Source organism: Homo sapiens, chromosome 8 (genome assembly GCF_000001405.40).
Source record: "Homo sapiens chromosome 8, GRCh38.p14 Primary Assembly".
NCBI classification, from domain to species: domain Eukaryota; kingdom Metazoa; phylum Chordata; class Mammalia; order Primates; family Hominidae; genus Homo; species Homo sapiens.
In genome coordinates, this window is record NC_000008.11 from 43,927,146 (window position 1) to 43,945,789 (window position 18,644).

General features: G+C 36.6%; 7 annotated features.

The window, feature by feature from the left end:
- Positions 5,314 to 5,853: an enhancer, noted in NCBI's record as "OCT4-NANOG hESC enhancer chr8:43787602-43788141 (GRCh37/hg19 assembly coordinates)". NCBI's record gives its function as "activates a minimal SCP1, AML or CMV promoter by ChIP-STARR-seq in primed H9 embryonic stem cells {active_cell/tissue: H9 hESC(primed)}" and the evidence as "EXISTENCE:reporter gene assay evidence [ECO:0000049][PMID:30033119]".
- Positions 10,174 to 11,153: an enhancer, noted in NCBI's record as "OCT4-NANOG-H3K27ac hESC enhancer chr8:43792462-43793441 (GRCh37/hg19 assembly coordinates)". NCBI's record gives its function as "activates a minimal SCP1, AML or CMV promoter by ChIP-STARR-seq in naive H9 embryonic stem cells {active_cell/tissue: H9 hESC(naive)}" and the evidence as "EXISTENCE:reporter gene assay evidence [ECO:0000049][PMID:30033119]".
- Positions 11,154 to 12,132: an enhancer, noted in NCBI's record as "OCT4-NANOG-H3K27ac hESC enhancer chr8:43793442-43794420 (GRCh37/hg19 assembly coordinates)". NCBI's record gives its function as "activates a minimal SCP1, AML or CMV promoter by ChIP-STARR-seq in naive and primed H9 embryonic stem cells {active_cell/tissue: H9 hESC(naive and primed)}" and the evidence as "EXISTENCE:reporter gene assay evidence [ECO:0000049][PMID:30033119]".
- Positions 12,140 to 12,766: an enhancer, noted in NCBI's record as "OCT4-NANOG hESC enhancer chr8:43794428-43795054 (GRCh37/hg19 assembly coordinates)". NCBI's record gives its function as "activates a minimal SCP1, AML or CMV promoter by ChIP-STARR-seq in naive and primed H9 embryonic stem cells {active_cell/tissue: H9 hESC(naive and primed)}" and the evidence as "EXISTENCE:reporter gene assay evidence [ECO:0000049][PMID:30033119]".
- Positions 14,725 to 15,389: an enhancer, noted in NCBI's record as "OCT4-NANOG hESC enhancer chr8:43797013-43797677 (GRCh37/hg19 assembly coordinates)". NCBI's record gives its function as "activates a minimal SCP1, AML or CMV promoter by ChIP-STARR-seq in primed H9 embryonic stem cells {active_cell/tissue: H9 hESC(primed)}" and the evidence as "EXISTENCE:reporter gene assay evidence [ECO:0000049][PMID:30033119]".
- Positions 15,390 to 16,053: an enhancer, noted in NCBI's record as "OCT4-NANOG hESC enhancer chr8:43797678-43798341 (GRCh37/hg19 assembly coordinates)". NCBI's record gives its function as "activates a minimal SCP1, AML or CMV promoter by ChIP-STARR-seq in primed H9 embryonic stem cells {active_cell/tissue: H9 hESC(primed)}" and the evidence as "EXISTENCE:reporter gene assay evidence [ECO:0000049][PMID:30033119]".
- Positions 16,402 to 17,070: an enhancer, noted in NCBI's record as "OCT4-NANOG hESC enhancer chr8:43798690-43799358 (GRCh37/hg19 assembly coordinates)". NCBI's record gives its function as "activates a minimal SCP1, AML or CMV promoter by ChIP-STARR-seq in primed H9 embryonic stem cells {active_cell/tissue: H9 hESC(primed)}" and the evidence as "EXISTENCE:reporter gene assay evidence [ECO:0000049][PMID:30033119]".

The window sequence follows — 18,644 nt, forward strand, 5'->3', positions numbered from 1 at the left end:
ACAGAAACTACTTTTTGATGAGTGTATTCAACTCACTGAGTTGAACCTTTCTTCTGATAGAGCAGTTTTGAAACACTCTTTTTGTAGAATCTGCAAGTGAACATTTGGAGGGCTCTGAGGCCTTCGGTGGAAATGGGAATATCTTCACATAAAAACTAGACCGAAGCACTCTTACCAACTTTTTTGTGATGTGTGCATTCAACTTACAGAGTTGAACCTTCCTTTCAATAGAGCGGTTTTGAAACACTCTGTTTGTAGAATCTGCAAGTGGATATTTGGAGTGCTTTTAGGCCTATGGTAGACAGGGAAATATCTTCATATAAAAATTAGGGGAAGCATTCTCAAAAACTACTTTGTGATGTGTGTATTCAACTCACAGAGTTGAACCTTTCTTTTGATAGAACAGTTTTGAAACACTCTACTGTAGAATCTGCAAGTGGATAATTATAGCTCTTTGAGGCCTATAGTGGAAACGGGAATATCTTGACATAAAAACTAGACAGAAGCATTCTCAGAAACTTATTTCTGATGTGTGCATTCAACTCATAGTGTTGAACCTTCTTTATGATAGAGCACTTTTGAAACACTCTTTTTGTAGAATCTGCAAGTGGATATATGGAGCGCTTTGAGGCCTATGGTAGAAAAGGAAATATATTCATATAAAAACTAGACAGAAGCATACTCAGAAACTATTTTGTGATGTGTGCATTGAACTCACAGAGTTGTACCTGCCTTTCATTGAGCAGTTTTCAAACAGTCTTTTTGTAGTATCTGCAAGTGGATATTTAGAGCGCTTTGAGGCCTATGGTGGAAAAGGAAGTATCTTCACATAAAAAGTAGACAGAAGCATTCTCAGAAACCACTTTGTGATCTGTGCATTCAACTAATAGAGATGAACCTTCCTTTTCATAGAGCAGTTTTTAAACACTCTTTTTACAGAATCTGCAAGTGGACATTTGGAGCGCTTTGATGCCTATGGTGAAAGAGGAAACACCTTCACGTAAAAACGGCACATATACACCATGGAATACTCTGCAGCCATAAAAAATTATGAGTTCGTGTCCTTTGTAGGGACATGGATGAAATTGGAAATCATCATTCTCAGTAAACTATCACAAGAAGGAAAAACCAAACACCGCATAATCTCACTCATAGGTGGGAATTGAACAATGAGATCACATGGACACAGGAAGGGGAACATCACACTCTGGGGACTGTTGTGGGGTGGGCGGAGGGGGGAGGGATAGCATTGGGAGATATACCTAATGCTAGATGACGAGGTAGTGGGTGCTGTGCACTAGCATGGCACACGTATACATAAGTAACTAACATGCACAATGTGCGCATGTACCCTAAAACTTAAAGTATAATAATAAAAGAAAAAAAAATTAGACAGAAGCATTCTCAGAAACTGCTTGGTGATGTGTGCATTCAACTCACAGAGTTGAACCTTCCTTTTCACAGAGCAGTTTTGAAACGGTCTTTTTGTAGAATTTTCAAGTGGGTAATTTTAGCACTTTGAGGCCTATGGAGGAAAAGGAAGTATCTTCATATAAAAATTAGATGGAAGCATTCTCAGACACTTGTTTGTGGTGTGTACATTCCACTAACAGAATTGAACCTTTCTTTTGATAGAGCAGTTTTGAAAGACTCTTTTTGTAGAACCTGCAAGAGGATATTTGGACCGCTTTGAGGACTGTTGTGGAAAAGGAAATATCTTCACATTAAAACTAGACAGAAGTATGCTCAGAAACTTCTTCATGATGTGTGCATTGAACTCAGAGAGTTGAAATTTCCTTTTGTTAGAGCAGTTTTGAAACACTGTTTTTGTAGAATCTGCAAGTGGATATTTGGATCACTTGGAGGCCTATGGTAGAAAAGGAAATATCTTCATATAAAAACTAGACAGAAGCATTCTCAGAAACTACTTTGTTATGTGTGCATTCAACTAACAGATTTGAACCCTTATTTTGATAGAGCAGTTATGAAAAACTCTTTTTGTAGAATCTGCATGTGAATATTTGGATCTGTTTGAGGCCTCCAGTGGAAACGGGAATACCTTCACTTAAAAACTAGACAGAAGCATTCTCGGAGACTATTTTGTGTTGTGTGCATTCAACTCAGAGAGTTTAAACTTCCTTATGATAGAGCAGTTTTGAAACACTGTTTTTGTAGAATCTGCAAGTGGATATTTGGAGCGATTTGAGGCCTATGATAGAAAAAGAAATATCTTCACATAAAAATTAGACAGAAGTATTCTGAGAAACAATTTTGTGATGCGTGCATTCAACTCAGAGGGTTGAACATTCCTTTTGATAGAGCAGTTTAGAAACACCCTTTTTGTAGAATCTGCAAGTGGATATTTGGAGCAATTTGAGGCCTATGGTAGAAAAGGAAATATCTTCATATGAAAATTAGACAGAAGCTTTCTCAGAAACTACTTTGTGATGTTTGCATTCAACTCACAGAGTTGAACAATTTTTTTGATAGAGCAGTTTTGAATCACTCTTTTTGTAGAGTCTGCAAGTGGATATTTGGAGGGCTTTGAGGCCTTTCGTGGAAATGGGAATATCTTCACTTAAACACTAGACAGAAGCATTCTCAGAAACTTCTTTGTGATGTGTGCATTCAACTTACCGAGTTGAACCTTCTGTTTGATAGAGCATTTTGAAACACTCTTTTTGTAGTATCTGCAATTGGATATTTGGAGCACCTTGAGGCCTATGGTAGAAAAGGAAATATCTTCATAAAAAAATTAGGAGAAACATTCTCAAAAACTACGTTGTGATGTGTGTATTCAACTCAGAGTTGAAACTTTCTTTTGATAGAGCAGATTTGAAACACTCTTTTTGTAGAATCTGCAAGTGGATATTTATATCTCTTTGAGGCCTACGGTGGAAACAGGAATATCTTCACATAGAAACTAGACAGAAGCATTATCAGAAACTCCTTTGTGATGTGTGCATTCATCTAAGAGACTTGAACTTTTATTTTGATAGAGCAGTTTTGAAACACTCTTTTTGTTGAATCCGAAAGTGGATATTTGGACTGCTTTGTGGCCTTCGGTGGAAACGGGAATATCTTCACATAAAAACTAGACAGAAATATTCTCAGAAACTACTTTGTGATGATTGCATTCAACTCACAGATTTCCACCTTCCTTTTCATAGAGCCGTTTTGAAACAGTCTTTTTGTAAATTCTGCAGTTGGATATTTGGAGGGCTTTGAGGCCTTTGGTGGAAAAGGATGTGTCTTCACATAAAAGTAGACAGAAGCACTCTCAGAAACTTCTTTGTGATGTGTGCATTCACCTAACAGTGTTGAAGCTTTCTTTTGATAGAGCAGTTTTGAAACACTGTTTTTGTGGAATCTGCAAGTGGATATTTGGAGCGCTTTGAGGCCTATGGTAGAAAAGGAGATAACTTCATACAAGAACTAGACAGAAGCATTCTCAGAAGCTACTTTGTGATGTGTGCATTCAACTCACAGAGTTGAACCTTTCTTTTGTTACAGCAGTTTTGAAACACTCTTTTTGTAGAATCTGCAAGTGGATATTTTTAGCTCTTTGATGCCTATGGTTAAAACGGGAATATCTTCACATAAAACCCAGACAGAAGCATTCTCAGAAACTACTTTGTGATGATTGCATTCAACTCACAGAGTTGAACATTTGTTTTCATAGAGTTGTTTGAAACACTCTTTTTGTAGAATCTGCAAGTGGATATTTGGACCACTTTGAAGCCTTCGGCGGAAACGGGAATATCTTGACATGAAAACTAGACACAAACATTCTCAGGAAGTTTTTTTGTGATGTGTGCTTTCAACTCACAGTGTTGAACCTTCCTGTTCATAGAGCAGTTTGTAACGCTCTTTTTGTAGAATCTGCAAGTGGACATCTTGAGGGCTTTGATGCCTATGTTAAAAAATGAAATACCTACACATAAAAAGTTGACAGAAATATTCTGAGAAACTTATTTGTGATGTGTGCATTCAACTCACATATTTGTGATGTGTGCATTCAACTCACAGAGTTGAAACTTGCTTTTCTTAGAGCAGTTTTGAAACAGTCTTTTTGTAAATTCTTCAAGTGGATAATTGGAGCCCTTTGAGGCCTATGGAGGAAAAGGAAGTATCTTTATATAAAAAGTAGACAGAAGCATCCTCAGAAACTTGTGTGTGATGTGTGCATTCCACTAACAAATTTGAACCTTTCTTTTGATAGAGCAGTTTTGAAACACTCTTTTTGTAGTATCTGCATGTGGATATTTAGATCTCTTTCAGGCCTACGGTGGAAACGGGATTATCTTCATATAAATACTAGACAGAAGTATTTTCAGAAACTTCTTTGTGCTGTGTGAATTAAACTCAGAGAGTTGAACCTACCTTTATAGAGCAGTTTTGAAATACTTCTTTTGGAAAACCTGCAAGTGGATATTCGGATCGCTTTGAGATCTATGGTAGAATAGGAAATATCTTCATATAAAAATTAGACAGAAGCATTCTCAGAAACCAGTTCATGATGCATGCATTCAACTCACAGAGTTGAACAGTTCTTTTGATATAGCAGTTTTGAAACACTCTTTTTGTAGAATCTGCAAGTGGGTATTTGAAGCGCTTTGAGGCCTTCTTTGGAAATGGGAATATCTTCACAAAATCTAGACAGAAGCATTCTCAGAAACTTCTCTGTGATGTGTGCATTCAACTAACAGAGGTGAACCTTTCTTTTGAGAGAACAATTTTGAAACTCTCTTTTTGTAGAATCTGCAAGTGGACATTTGGAGGTTTTTGAGACCTGTGGTGGAAATGAAAATATCTTCACATAGAAACTTGACAGAAGCATTCTCAGTAACTTCTTTTTGATGTGGGCATTCAACTCACAGAGTTGAACCTTCCTTTTGATAGCGTAGTTTTGAAACACTCTTTTTGTAGAATCTGCAAGTGGAGATTTACAGATCTTTGGGGCCTACGGTGGAAACGGGAATATCTTCACATAAAAGCTAGACAGAAGCATTCTCATAAACTACTTTGTGATTTGTGCATTCAACTCAGGGAGTTGAACTTTCTTTGTGATACAGCAGTTTTGAAACACTCTTTTTGCAAGAATCTGCAAGTGGATACTTGGAGCACTTAGAGGCCTATGGCAGAAAAGGACATAACTTCATATAGAAACTAGACATAAGCATTCTCAGAAACTATTTTGTGAAGTGTGCATTTAACTCACAGGGTTGAACCTTTCTTTCTTTTGATAGAGCAGATTTGAAACACTCTTATTCTAGAGTCTGCAAGTGGATATTTGGAGCGCTTTGATGCCTGTAGTGGAAAAAGAAATATCTTCACATAAAAACTAGACAGCACTATTGTCAGAAACTTTTTTGTGATGTTTGCATTCACCTCACAGAGTTGAACATTTTTTTTCATAGAAAAGTTTTGAAAAACTCTTTTTGTAGAATCTACAAGTGCATACTGGGACCGTGTTGAGGCCTTCGGTGGAAACGGGAATATCTTCACATAAAAACTATACAGAAGCATTCTCAGAAACTTCTTTGTGATGTGTGCATTCAACTCATAGATTTGAACCTTCCTTTTGATAGAGCAGTTTTGAAATGCTCTTTTTTTAGAATCTGCAAGTGGATATTTGTAGCGCTTTTAGGCCTTTGGTGCAAATGGGAATATCTTCACATAAAAACTAGACAGAAGTATTTTCAGAAACTTCTTTGTGATGTGTGCATTCAACCCAGAGTTTTGAACCTTTCTTGTGATAGAGCCGTTTTGAAACAGTCTTTTTGTATAATCTTCAAGTGGATAATTAGAGGAATTTGAGGCCTATGGAGGAAAAGGAAGTATCTTCATATAAAAAGTAGATGGAAGCATTCTCAGAAACTTGCTTGTTATTTGTGCATTTCACTAGCAGAGTTAAACCTTCCTTATGAAAGAGCAGTTATGAAACTCTCTTTTTGTAGAATATGCAAGTGGATATATGGAGTGCTTCAAGGCCTTCAATGGAAACGGGAATATCTTCTCATAAAAACTAGACGGAATCATTCTCAGAAACTATTTTGTGATGTTTGTATTCAACTCAGAGAGTTGAACATTCCTTTTGATAGAGCAGTTTTTAAACACTTTTTTTGTAGAATCTGCAAGTGGATATTTGGACCACTTTGAGGCCTTCAGTAAAAACGGGATTATCTTCACATAAAAGCTAGACAGAAGCATTCTCCGAAACCTCTGTGTGATGTGTGCATTCAACTCACAGAGTTGAACCATTCTTTTCATAGAGTAGTTTTGAAACAGTTTTTTTGTAGAATCTGCAAGAGGATATTTAGAGCGCTTTGAGGGCTGTGGTGGAAAAGGAAATATCCTTACATAAAAAGTACACAGAAGCGTTCTCAGAAACTTCTTTGTGATGTGGGCATTCAACTAACAGAGGTGAACATTCCTTTTGATAGAGCAGTTTTGAAACACTCTTTGTGTAGAACCTGCAAGTGGATATTTGGAGCGCTTTGAAGTCTGTCATGGAAAACGAAGTATCTTCACATAAAAAAGAGACAGAAGCATTCTTTGTAACTGCTTTGTGATGTGTGCATTCAACTCACAGGGTTGAACATTCCTCTTGTTAGAGGAGTTTTGAAATACTCTCTTTGTAGAATCTGCAAGTGGATATTTGGAGCTCTTTGAGGCCTACGGTGGAAATGGGAATATCTTCACATAAAAACTAGACAAAAGCTTTCTCAGAAAATTCTTTGTGATGTGTGCATTCAACTCAGAGAGTTGAACCTTCCTTTCCATAGAGCAGTTTTGAAACACTCCTTTTGTAGTCTCTGCAAGTGGACATTTGGAGCGTTTTGAGGCCTCTGGTGGAAAAGGAAATACCTTCACATAGAACCTAGATAGAAGTATTCTCAGAAACTTATTTGTGATGTGTGCATTTAAATCACAAAGTTGAACCTTCCTTTGTATAGAGCACTGTTGAAACTCTCTTTTTGTAAAATCTGCAAGTGGACATTTGGAGCCCTTTGATGACTGTGGTAAAAAGAAATATCTTCACATAACTAGACAGTAGCATTCTCACAAATTTCTTTGAGATGTTTGCATTCAACTCACAGAGTTGAACGTTCCTTTTCATAGAGCAGTTTTGAAATACACTTTTTGTAGAAGCTGCAGGTGTATATTTGGACTGCTTTGAGGCCTTCAGTGGAAACGGGAATATCTTCACTTAAGAACTAGACAGAAGCATTCTCAGAAACTTCTGTGTGACGTGTGTATTGAACTCACACATTTGAACTGTCCTTTTGATAGAGCTGTTTTGAAACACTCTTTTTGTAATATCTGCAAGTGGATATGTGGAGCCCTTTGAGGCCTTCGGTGGAAATGGGAATATCTTCACATAATAACTACAGAGAAGCATTCTCAGAAACTACTTTGTGATATGTGCATTCAACTCACTGAGTTGAAACTTTCTTTTGATAGAGCAGTTTTGAAACACTCTTTTTGTAGAACCTTCAATTGGGCATTTGAGCGCTATGAGGCTTGTGGTGGAAAAGGCAATATCTTCACATAGAAACAAGACAGAAGCATTCTCACAGACTTCTTTCTGATGTGGGCATTCAACTCACAGAGGTGAACCTTCCTTTTGATAGAGCAGTTTTGAAACACTCTTTTTGTATAATCTACAAGTGGATATTTATAGCTCTTTGAGGCCTACAGTTGAAATGGGAATATCTTCACATAAAAATTAGACAGAAGCATTCTCAGAAACTACTTTGTGATGATTCTGTTCAACTCAAAAAGTTGAACATTCCTTTTGATAGAGCAGTGTTGAAACACTCTTTTTGTAGTATCTGCAGGTGGACATTTGGACCGTTTTGAGGCCCTTGGTGGAAATGGGAATATCGTCACATAAAAACTAGACAGAAATATTTTCAGAAACTTCTTTGTGTGGTGTGCATTCAACTCACAGAGTTGAAGCTTCCTTTTCATAGAGCAGTTTTGAAACAGTCTTTTTGTAGAATCTGCAGGTGGATATTTGGAGCGCTTTGAGGCCTGTGGTGGAAAAGGATGTATCTTCACATAAAAGTAGTCAGATGCATTCTCAGAAACTTCTTTGTGATGTGTGCATTCAACTAAGAGAGTTGAAACTTTCTTTTCATAGAGCAGTTTTGAAACTCTGTTTTTGGAATATCTGCAAGTGGATATTTGGAGCGCTTTGAGGCCTATTGTAGGAAAGGAAATAACTTCATAGAAAAACTAGACAGAAGCATTCTCAGAAACTAGTTTGTGATGTATGCATTCGACTCACAGAGTTGAACATTTGTTTTGATAGAGCAGATATTTGAAACACTCTTTTTGTAGAATTTGCTAGTGGATATTTGGAGCACTTTGATGCCTATGGAGAAAAAGGAAATATCCTCACATAAAAACTAGACAGAAGCAGTCTGAGAAACTTCTTTGTGATGTTTGCATTCAACTCACAGATTTTAAGATTCCTTTTCATGAAGCAGTTTTGAAACACTCTTTTCGTAGCGTCTGCAAGTGGATATTTGTACCGATTTGCGGCCTTCAGTGGAAACGGGAATATCTTCACATAAAAACTAGACTGAAGCATTCTCAGAAACTTCTTTGTGACTTGTGCATTGAACTCACACATTTGAACTTTCCTTTTGATAGAGCTGTTATGAAACACTCTTTTTGTAGTATCTGCAAGTGGATATGTGGAACACTTTGAGGCCTTCGGTGGAAATGGCAATATCTTCACATAATAACTAGAGAGAAGCATTCTCAGAAACTACTTTGTGATATGTGCATTAAACTCACTGAGTTGAACCTTTCTTTTGATAGATCAGGCTTGAAACACTCTTTTTGTAGAATCTACAAGTGGACATTTTGAGAGCTTTGAGGTCTGCAGTGGAAAAGCAAATATCTTCACACAGAAACTAGACAGAAGTATTCTCAGAAACTTCTTTGTGATGTGTGCTTCCACCTCCCAGATTTGAACCTTTTTTTTTGATAGAGCAGTTTTGAAACACTCTTTTTGCAGAATCTGCAAGTGAACATTTTGAACGGTTTGATACCTTTGGTGGAAAAGGAAATATCTTTACATAGAAACTAGACAGAATTATTCTCAGAAACTTCTTTGTGATGTGTATATTCAACTCCCAGAGTTGAACCTTTCTTTTGATAGAGCAGTTTTGAAACACTCTTTTTGTAGAATCTGCAAGTGGATATTTGGAGCGCTTTGAGGCCTTGGAAACGGATGCATTTTCACATAGCAAGTAGACAGAAGTATTCTCAGAAACTTCTTTGTGATGTCTGCATTCAACTCACAGAGTTGAACCTTCCTATTGATGGAGCAGTTTTGAAACATTGTTTTTGTAGAATTTGCAAGTGGATTTTACAGCGCTTTGAGGATTTTAGAGCAAATGAATAAATGTAATCCACCATATAAAGAGAACCAAACACAAAAACCACATGATTATCTCAATAGATGCAGAAAAAGCCTTTGAAAAAATTCAACAACCCTTCATGCTAAAAACTCTCAATAAATTCGGTATTGACGGGACGTATTTCAAAATAATAAGAGCTGTCTATGAGAAACCCACAGCCAATATCATACTGAATGGGCAAAAACTGGAAGCATTCCCTTTGAAAACTGTCACAAGACAAGGATGCCCTCTCTCACCACTCCTATTCAACATAGTGTTGGAAGTTCTGGCCAGGGCAATGAGGCAGGAGAAGGAAATAAAGAGTATTCAATTAGGAAAAGAGGAAATCAAATTGTCCCTGTTTGCAGACGACACGATTGTATATCTAGAAAACCCCATTGTCTCAGGCCAAAATCTCCTGAAGCTGTTAAGCAACTTCAGCAAAGTCTCAGGATACAAAATCAATGTACAAAAGTCACAAGCATTCTTATACAACAACAACAGACAAACAGAGAGCCAAATCATGAGTGAACTCCCATTCACAATTGCTTCAAAGAGAATAAAATACCTAGGAATCCAACTTACAAGGGATGTGAAGGACCTCTTCAAGGAGAACTACAAACCACTGCTAAAGGAAATAAAAAAGGATAAAAACAAATGGAAGAACATTCCATACTCATGGGTAGGAAGAATCAATATCGTAAAAATGGCCATAGTGCCCAAGGTAATTTACTGAACTTTTCTTTTGATAGAGCAGTTTTGAAACACTCTGTTTGTAAAGTCTGCAAGTGGATATTAGGAGGATTTTGAGGCCTTCTTTGGAAAAGGGAATATCTTCACAGAAAAATTAGACCGAAGTATTCACTGAAACTTCTTTGTGATGTGTGCATTCAACTCACAGATTTGAACCTTCCTTTTGATAGAGCAGTTTTGAAACACTCTTTTTGTAGATTTTGCAAGTGGATATTTAGAGCGCTTTGAGGCCTATGGTAGAAAAGTAAATATCTTCATATAAAAACTACACAGAATCCTTCTCAGAAAGTACTTTGTTATATGTGCGTTCAACTCACAGAGTTTAACCTTTCTTTTGATAGAGCAGTTTTGAAACACTCTGTTTGTAAAGTCTGCAAGTGAATATTTGGAGCACTTTGAGGCTTTCTTTGGAAACGGGAATATCTTCACTTAAAAGTAGATGGAAGTATTCTCAGAAACTTCTTTGTGATGTCTGCACTTTATTCACAGAGTTGAACCTTCCTTTCTTTAGAACAGTTTTGAAACACTATTTTTGTAGAATTTGCAAGTGGATGTTTACAAAGCTTTGGGGCCTGTGGTAGAAAAGGAAGTATCTTCATAGAAAAACAACACAGAAGCATTCTCAGAAACTACTTTGTGATGTTTGCATTCAACTCACAGAGGTAAATATTCCTTTCGATAGAGCAGTTTTGAACCACCCTTTTTGTAGGATCTGCAAGTGGATATTTGGATAGCTTTGAGGATTTCGTTGGAAACGGGAATGTCTTCATAGAAAATTTAGACAGAAGCATTCTCAGAACCTTGATTGTGATGTGTGTTCTCCACTAACAGAGTTGAACCTTTCTTTTGACAGAACTGTTTTGAAACATTCTTTTTATAGAATCTGGAAGTGGATATTTGGAAAGCTTTGAGGATTTCGTTGGAAACGGGAATATCTTCATATAAAATCTAGAAAGAAGCATTCTAAGAAACATCTTAGGGATGTTTACATTCAAGTCACAGAGTTGAACATTCCCTTTCACAGAGCAGGTTTGAAACAATCTTCTCGTACTATCTGGAAGTGGACATTTTGAGCTCCTTGGGGCCTATGCTGAAAAAGGAAATATCTTCCGACAAAAACTAGACAGAAGCATTCGCAGAATCACGTTTGTGATGTATGCACTCAACTGTCAGAATTGAACCTTTGTTTGGACAGAGCACTTTTGAAACACTCTTTTTGTAGAATCTGCAGGTGGATATTTGGCTAGCTTTGAGGATTTCGTTGGAAACGGTAATGTCTTCAAAGAAAATCTAGACAGAAACATCCTCAGAAACATCTTCGTGATGTTTGCAATCAAGTCACAGAGTTGAACCTTCCGTTTCATAGAGCAGGTTGGAAACACTCTTTTTGTAGTATCTGGAAGTGGACATTTGGAGCGCTTTCAGGCCTATGGTGAAAAAGGAAATAGCTTCCCATAAAAACGACATAGAAGCTATCTCAGGAACTTGTTTATGATGCATCTAATCAACTAACAGTGTTGAACCTTTGTACTGACAGAGCAGTTTGAAACAGTCTTTTTTTGGAATCTGCAAGTGGATATTTGGATCGCTTTGAGGATTTCGTTGGAAACGGGATGCAATATAAAACGTACACAGCAGCATACTCAGAAAATACTTTGCCATATTTCCATTCAAGTCACAGAGTGGAACATTCCCATTCATAGAGCAGGTTTGAAACACTCTTTTTGTAGTATCTGGAAGTGGACATTTGGAGCGCTTTCTTACCTGTGGTGAAAAAGGAAATATCTTCCCATAAAAACAAGACAGAAGCATTCTCAGAAACTTTTTTGTGATGTGTGTCCTCAACTAACGGACTTGAACCTTTCTTTTCATGCAGTACTTCTGGAACACTCTTTTTGAAGATTCTGCATGTGGATATTTGGATGGCTTTGAGGATTTCGTTGTAAACGGGATTACATATAAAAAGTAGACAGCAGCATTCAGAAACTTCTTTGTGGTGTCTGCATTCAAGTCACAGAATTGAACATTCCCTCACATAGAGCAGTTGTGAAGCACTCCATTTGTAGTATCTCGAAGTGGATATTTGGAGGGCTTTGTAGCCTATCTGGAAAAAGAAAATATCTTCCCATGAATGCGAGATAGAAGCAATCTCAGAAACTTGTTTATGCTGTATCTACTCAACTAACTGTGCTGAACCTTTCTATTGATAGAGCAGTTTTGAGACACTCTTCTTTTGGAATCTGCAAGTGGATATATGGATAGATTTGAGGATTTCGTTGGAAACGGGATTACATATAAAAAGTAGACAGCAGTATTCTCAGAAACTTCTTTGTGATGTTTGCATCCAGCTCTCAGAGTTGAACATTCCCTTTCATAGAGTAGGTTTGAAACCCTCTTTTTATAGTGTCTGGAAGCGGGCAATTGGAGCGCTTTCAGGCCTATGCTGAAAAAGGAAATTACCCATAGAAACTAGACAGAAGCATTCTGAGAATCACGTTTGTGATGTGTGTACTCAACTAAGAGAGTTGAACCATTCTTTTGATACAGTAGTTTTGAAAAACTGTTTTTGTAGAATCTGCAAGTGGATATTTGGACGTCTTTGATGCCTTCATTGTAAACGGTATTCCTTCATATGAAAGATAAACAGAAGAATTCTCCGAAACTTCTTTGTGATGTGTGCATTCTACTCAAAGAGTTGAACATTCCTTTCTATATAGAAGTTTTTAAACACTCTTTTTCTAGAATTTCCAAGTGGATATTTAGTGCGCTTTGAGGCCTATGTTAGAAAATGAAATGTCTTCATATAAAAAATAGAGATAATCATTCTCAGAAACAATTTTGTGATGTGTGCGTGCAACTCACAGAGCTTAACTTTCTTTTGATGGGTCTGATTTGAAACACTTTTTTTGTAGAATTTGCAAGTGTATATTTATTGCTCTTTAAGACCTGTGGTAGAAAAGGATATCTCTTCACATAAAAACTAGACAGAAGCATTCTCAGAGACCACATTGTGATGCTTGCATTCAACTCACAGAGTTGAACATTCCTCTTGAGAGAGCAGTTTTGAAACAGTCTTTTTGTAGGCTCTGCTAGTGGATATTTGACCTCTTTGTGACCTTCGTTGGAAACAGGATTTCTTCATTTGAAAATTAGAAAGAAGATTTCTCAGAAACTTCTTTGTGATGTGTGCATTTATTTCACAGAGTTGAATTTTGCTTTCAATAGAGTAGTTTTGAAACACTCTTTTTGTAGAATTTCCAAGTGAATATTTAGAGTGGTTTAAGGCCTAACCTAGAAAAGGAAATATCTTCATATGGAAACTACACAGAATCATTCTCAGAAACTACTTCATGATGTGTGCGTTCAACTCAAAGAGTTTAACCTTTCTTTGGATGGGGCAGTTTTGAAACACTCTTTTTGTAGTATCTGCAAGTGGATATTTTGACCTCTTTGTGGCCTTCGTTGGAAACGGGAATTTCTTCACTTAAAAAGTAGACAGAAAAATTCTCAGAAACTTCTTCGTGATGTGTATGTTCAATTCACAGAGTTGAACCTTCCTTTCGATAGAGCAGTTTTGAAACACTCTTTTTATTGTATTTTCAACTGGATATTTAGAGTGGTTTAAGGCCTATGGTAGAAAAGGATATATCTTCATATAACAACTAGACAGAATCATTCTCAGAAACTACTTTGTGATCTCTGCGTTCAACTCACAGAGTTTAACATTTCTTTTGATAGAGCAGTTTTGAAACACCGCTTTTGTAGAATTTGCAATTGTATATTGACAGCACTTAGACGCCTATTTTAGAAAACGAAATATCTTCACATAAAAATTAGAAACATTCTCAGAAACTACATTGGGATGTTTGCATTCAATGCACTGTGTTGAACATTCCCCTTGGTGTAGCAGTTTTGAAACATTTTTTTTCTAGAATCTGCAAGTGGATATTTAGACCTCTTTGAGACCTTCGTTGGAAACTGGATTTCTTCATATAAAAACTAGACAGAAAGACTCTCAGAAACTTCTTTTTGATGTGTGCATTCAACTCACAGAGTTGAAACTTCCTTTCGATAGAGCAGTTTTGAAAAACTCTTTTTGCAGAATTTCCAAGTGGATATTTAGATCGCCTTGAAGCCTATGGTAGAAAAGGAAATATCTTCATATAAAAATTATACAGAAACTTTCTCAGAAACTAGATTGTGATTTGTGCTTTCAATTCACTGAATTTAACCTTTCTTTTGGTAGAGCAGTTTTGAAACACTATGTTTGTAAAGTCTGCAAGTGTATATTTGGAGCACTTTAAAGCCTTCTTTGGAATCAGGAATATCTTCACATAAAAAGTAAACAGAAGTATTCTCAGAAACTTCTTTGTGTTGTCTGCACTCAACTAACAGAGTTTAACCTTCCTTTTGATAGAGCAGTTTTGAAACACTCATTTTGTAGAGTTTGCGAGTGGATATTAAGAGCGTTTTTTGGCCTATGGTAGAAAAGGAAATATCTTCATATTAAAAATACACAGAGGCATTCTCAGAAACTACTTTGTGATGTTTGCATTAAACTCACAGAGTTGTACATTACTTTCGATAGAGTAGTTTTGTAACACTCTTTTTGTAGACTCTACAAGTGGATATTTGGACCTCTTTGAGGCCTTCGTTGGAAACGGGACTTTCTTCATATAAAAACTAGACAGAAGAATTCTCAGAAACTTGTTTATGATGTGTGCATTCAATTCACAGAGTTGAACTTTTCTTTCAATAGAGCAGTTTTGAATCACTCTTTTTGTAGAATTTCCAAGTGGATATTTAGAGCTGTTTGAGACCTATGGTAGAAAAGGAAATATCTTCATATAAAAACTAGACAGAATCATTCTCAGAAACTACTTTGTGATGTGTGCATTCAACTCACATAGTTTAACATTTCTTTTGATAGAGCAGTTTTGAAACACCACTTTTGTAGAATTTGCAAGTGTATATTCAGAGCGCTTTGAGGCCTATGGTAGAAAATGAAATATCTTCACATACCAACGAGGCAGAAGCATTCTCAGAAACTACTGTGTGATGTTTGCATTCAACTGACAGAGTTGGACATTCCTCTTGATGGAGCAGTTTTGAAACTCTCCTTTGTAGAATCTGCAAGTGGATATTTGGAACTCTTTGAGGCCTTCGTTGGAAACGGGAATTTCTTCACTTGAAAAACAGACAGAAGAAATCTCTGAAACTTTCTGTGACATGGACATTCAACTCACAGAGTTGAATCTTTCTTTTGATAGAGCAGTTTTGAAACACTCTTTTTGTAGAATTTCCAAGTGGATATTTAGTGCGCTCTGAAGCCTGTGGTAGAAAAGGAAATATCTTCATAGAAAAACTACACAGAAGCATTCTGAGATACTACTTTGTGTTGTTTGCATTCAACTCACAGAGTTGAACATTCCTTTTGATAGAGCAGTTTTGTAACACTCTTTTTGTAGAATCTGCAAGTGGTTATTAGGACTTCTTAGAGGCCTTCTTTGGAAACGGGATTTCTTCCTATAAAAAGTAGACAGAAGAATTCCCAGAAACTTCTTTGTGATGTGTGCATTCAACTCACAGAGTTGAAACTTCCTTTCAATACAGCAGTTTTGAAACACTATTTTTGAAGTATTTTCAAGTGAATATTTAGGGCGCCTTGAAGCCTATGGTAAAAAAGGGAATGTCTTCACATAGAAATTAGACAGAACCTTTCTCAGAAACTAGTTTGTGATGTGTGCTTTAAACTCACTGAGTTTAACCTTTCTTTTGTTAAAGCAGTTTTGAAACACTCTGTAAAGTCTGCAAGTGGATATTTGGAATGCTTTAATGCCTTCTTTGTAAAGGGGAATATCTTCACATAAAAGTAAACAGAAGTATTCTCAGAAACTCCTTTGTGATGTCTTCACTCAACTAACAGGGTTGAACCTTCCCTTTGATAGTGCAGTTTTGAAACACTCTTTTTGTAGAATTTGCGAGTGGATATATAGAGCGTTTTGGGGCCTATGCTAGAAAAGGAAATATCTTCATATTAAAACTACACAGAGGCATTCTCAGAAACTACTTGTTGATGTTTGCATTCAACTCACAGAGTTGAACATTCCTTTTGGTAGAGCACTTTTGAAACACTCTTTTTATAGGATATGCAAGTGGATATTTTGACCTATTTGAGGCCTTCCTTGGAAACGGGATTTCTTCATTTAAAAACGAGATAGAAGAATTCACAGAAACCTCTTTGTGGTGTGTGCATTCAGTACACAGAGTTGAACCTTCCTTTCGATAGAGCAGTTTTGAAACTCTTTTTACATAATTTCCAAGTGGATATTTAGAGCGCTTTGAGGTCTATGGTTAAAAACGAAATATCTTCATATAAAAACCAGACAGAATCATTCTCAGAAACTACTTTGTGATGTGTGCGTTCAACTCACAGAGTTTAACCTTTCTTTTCATGGAGAAATTTTGAAACCCTCTTTTTGTAGAATTTTGAAGTGGATATTTGGAGCACGTTGAAGCCTATGGTAGAAAAGGAAATATCTTCACATAAAAACTAAACAGAAGCATTCTCAGAAACTACTGTGTGATGTTTGCATTCAACTCACAGAGTTGAACATTCCTCTTGATGGAGCAGTTTTGAAACACTCTTTTTGTGGAATCTGCAAGTGGATATTTGAAGCTCTTTGAGGCCTTCATTGGAAACGGGCTTTCTTCTTATGAAAGCTAGACAGAAGAATTCTCAGAAACATCTTTGTGTTCTATGCATTCAATTCACAGAGTTGAATCTTCCTTCCAATAGAGCAGTTTTGAAACACTCTTTTTGAGGAATTTCCAAGTGGATATTTAGAGTGGTTTGAGGCCTTTGGTAGATAAGAAATTATCTACATATAAACACTAGACAGAATAATTCTCAGAAACTACTCTGTGATGTGTGCGTTCAAATCACAGAGTTTAACCTTCTTTTCAATAGAACAGTTTTGAAACACTTTTTTTGTAGAATTTCCAAGTGGATATTTAGTGCCCTTTGAAGCCTATGTTAGAAAAGGAACTATCTTCATAGAAAAACAACACAGGAGCATTCTCAGAAACCAGTTTGTGATGTGTGCATTGAATTCACAGAGTTTAACCTTTCTTTTGAATGGAGAAGTTTTGAAACACTCTTCTTGTATGATTTGCAAGTGTATATTTAGGGCGCTTTGTAGCCTGTGGCAGAAAGTGAAATATCTTCACATAAAAAGTAGAGTGAAGCATTCTCAGAAGCTAATTTGTGATGTTTGCATTCAACTCACAGAGCTGAACAATCATTTGATAGAGCAGTTTTGAATCACCCTTTTTGTAGATTCTGCAAGCGGACATTTGGACCGCTGTGAGGCCTTCGTTGAAAACGGGCATATCTTCACATAAAAATCAGACAGAAGGATTCCCAGAAACTTCTTAGTGATGTGTGCATTCAACTTACAGATTTTAACTTTTCTTTTGATAGGGCAGTTTTGAAACACTCTTTCTGTAGAATTTGCTAGTGGATATGTGCCTCCCTTTGAGGCTTATTTTGGAAAAGGAAATATCTTCACATAGAAAGTAGAAGGAATCATTCTCAGAAACTACTTTTTGATGTGTGACTTCAACTCACAGAGTTGAACCTTCCTTTTGATAGAGCATTTTTGAAACACACTTTTTGTAGAATCTGCAAGTGGATTTTTGGAGGGCTTTGAGGCCTACTTTTGAAACGGGTATATTTTCACAGAGAAAGTAGACAGAAGTATTCTCAGAAACTTCTTTGTGATGTCTGCATTCAACTCACTGAGCTGAACCTGCCTTTGGATAGAGCAGTTTTGTACACTCATTTTGTAGAATTTCCAAGTGGATATTTAGAGTGCTGCATGTCCTATGGTAGAATAGGAAGTATTTTCATAAAAAAGTAGACAGAAGCATTCTAAGAAACTACTTTGTGATGTTTCCATTCAACTAACAGAGTTGAACATTCCTTTTGATAGAGAAGTTTTGAAACACTCTTTTTGTGGAATCTGCAAGTGGACATTTAGACCGCTTTGAGTCCTTGGTTGGAAACGGGATTATCTTCACATAAAAACCAGAGAGAAGCATTCTCAGAAACTTCTTTGCGATGTGTGCATTCAACTCACAGAGGTGAATATTTCTTTTGATATAGCAGTTTTCTAACACTCTTTTTGTAGAATCTTCAAGTGGATATTTTATTCCCTTTGAGGCCCATGTTGGAAAAGGAGTTATCTTCACATAAAAATTAGAATGATACATTCTCATAAACTTCTTTGAGATAGATAAGTGAATTCAACTCACAGACTTGAACCTTTCTTTTGACACAGCAGTTTTGAAACGCTCTGTTTGTAACGTTTGCAAGTGGACATTTGTAGTGCTTTGAGGCCTTCTTTGGAAAGGGGAATATCTTCCCATAAAAAGTAGACATAAGTATTCTCTGAAACTTCTTTGTGATGT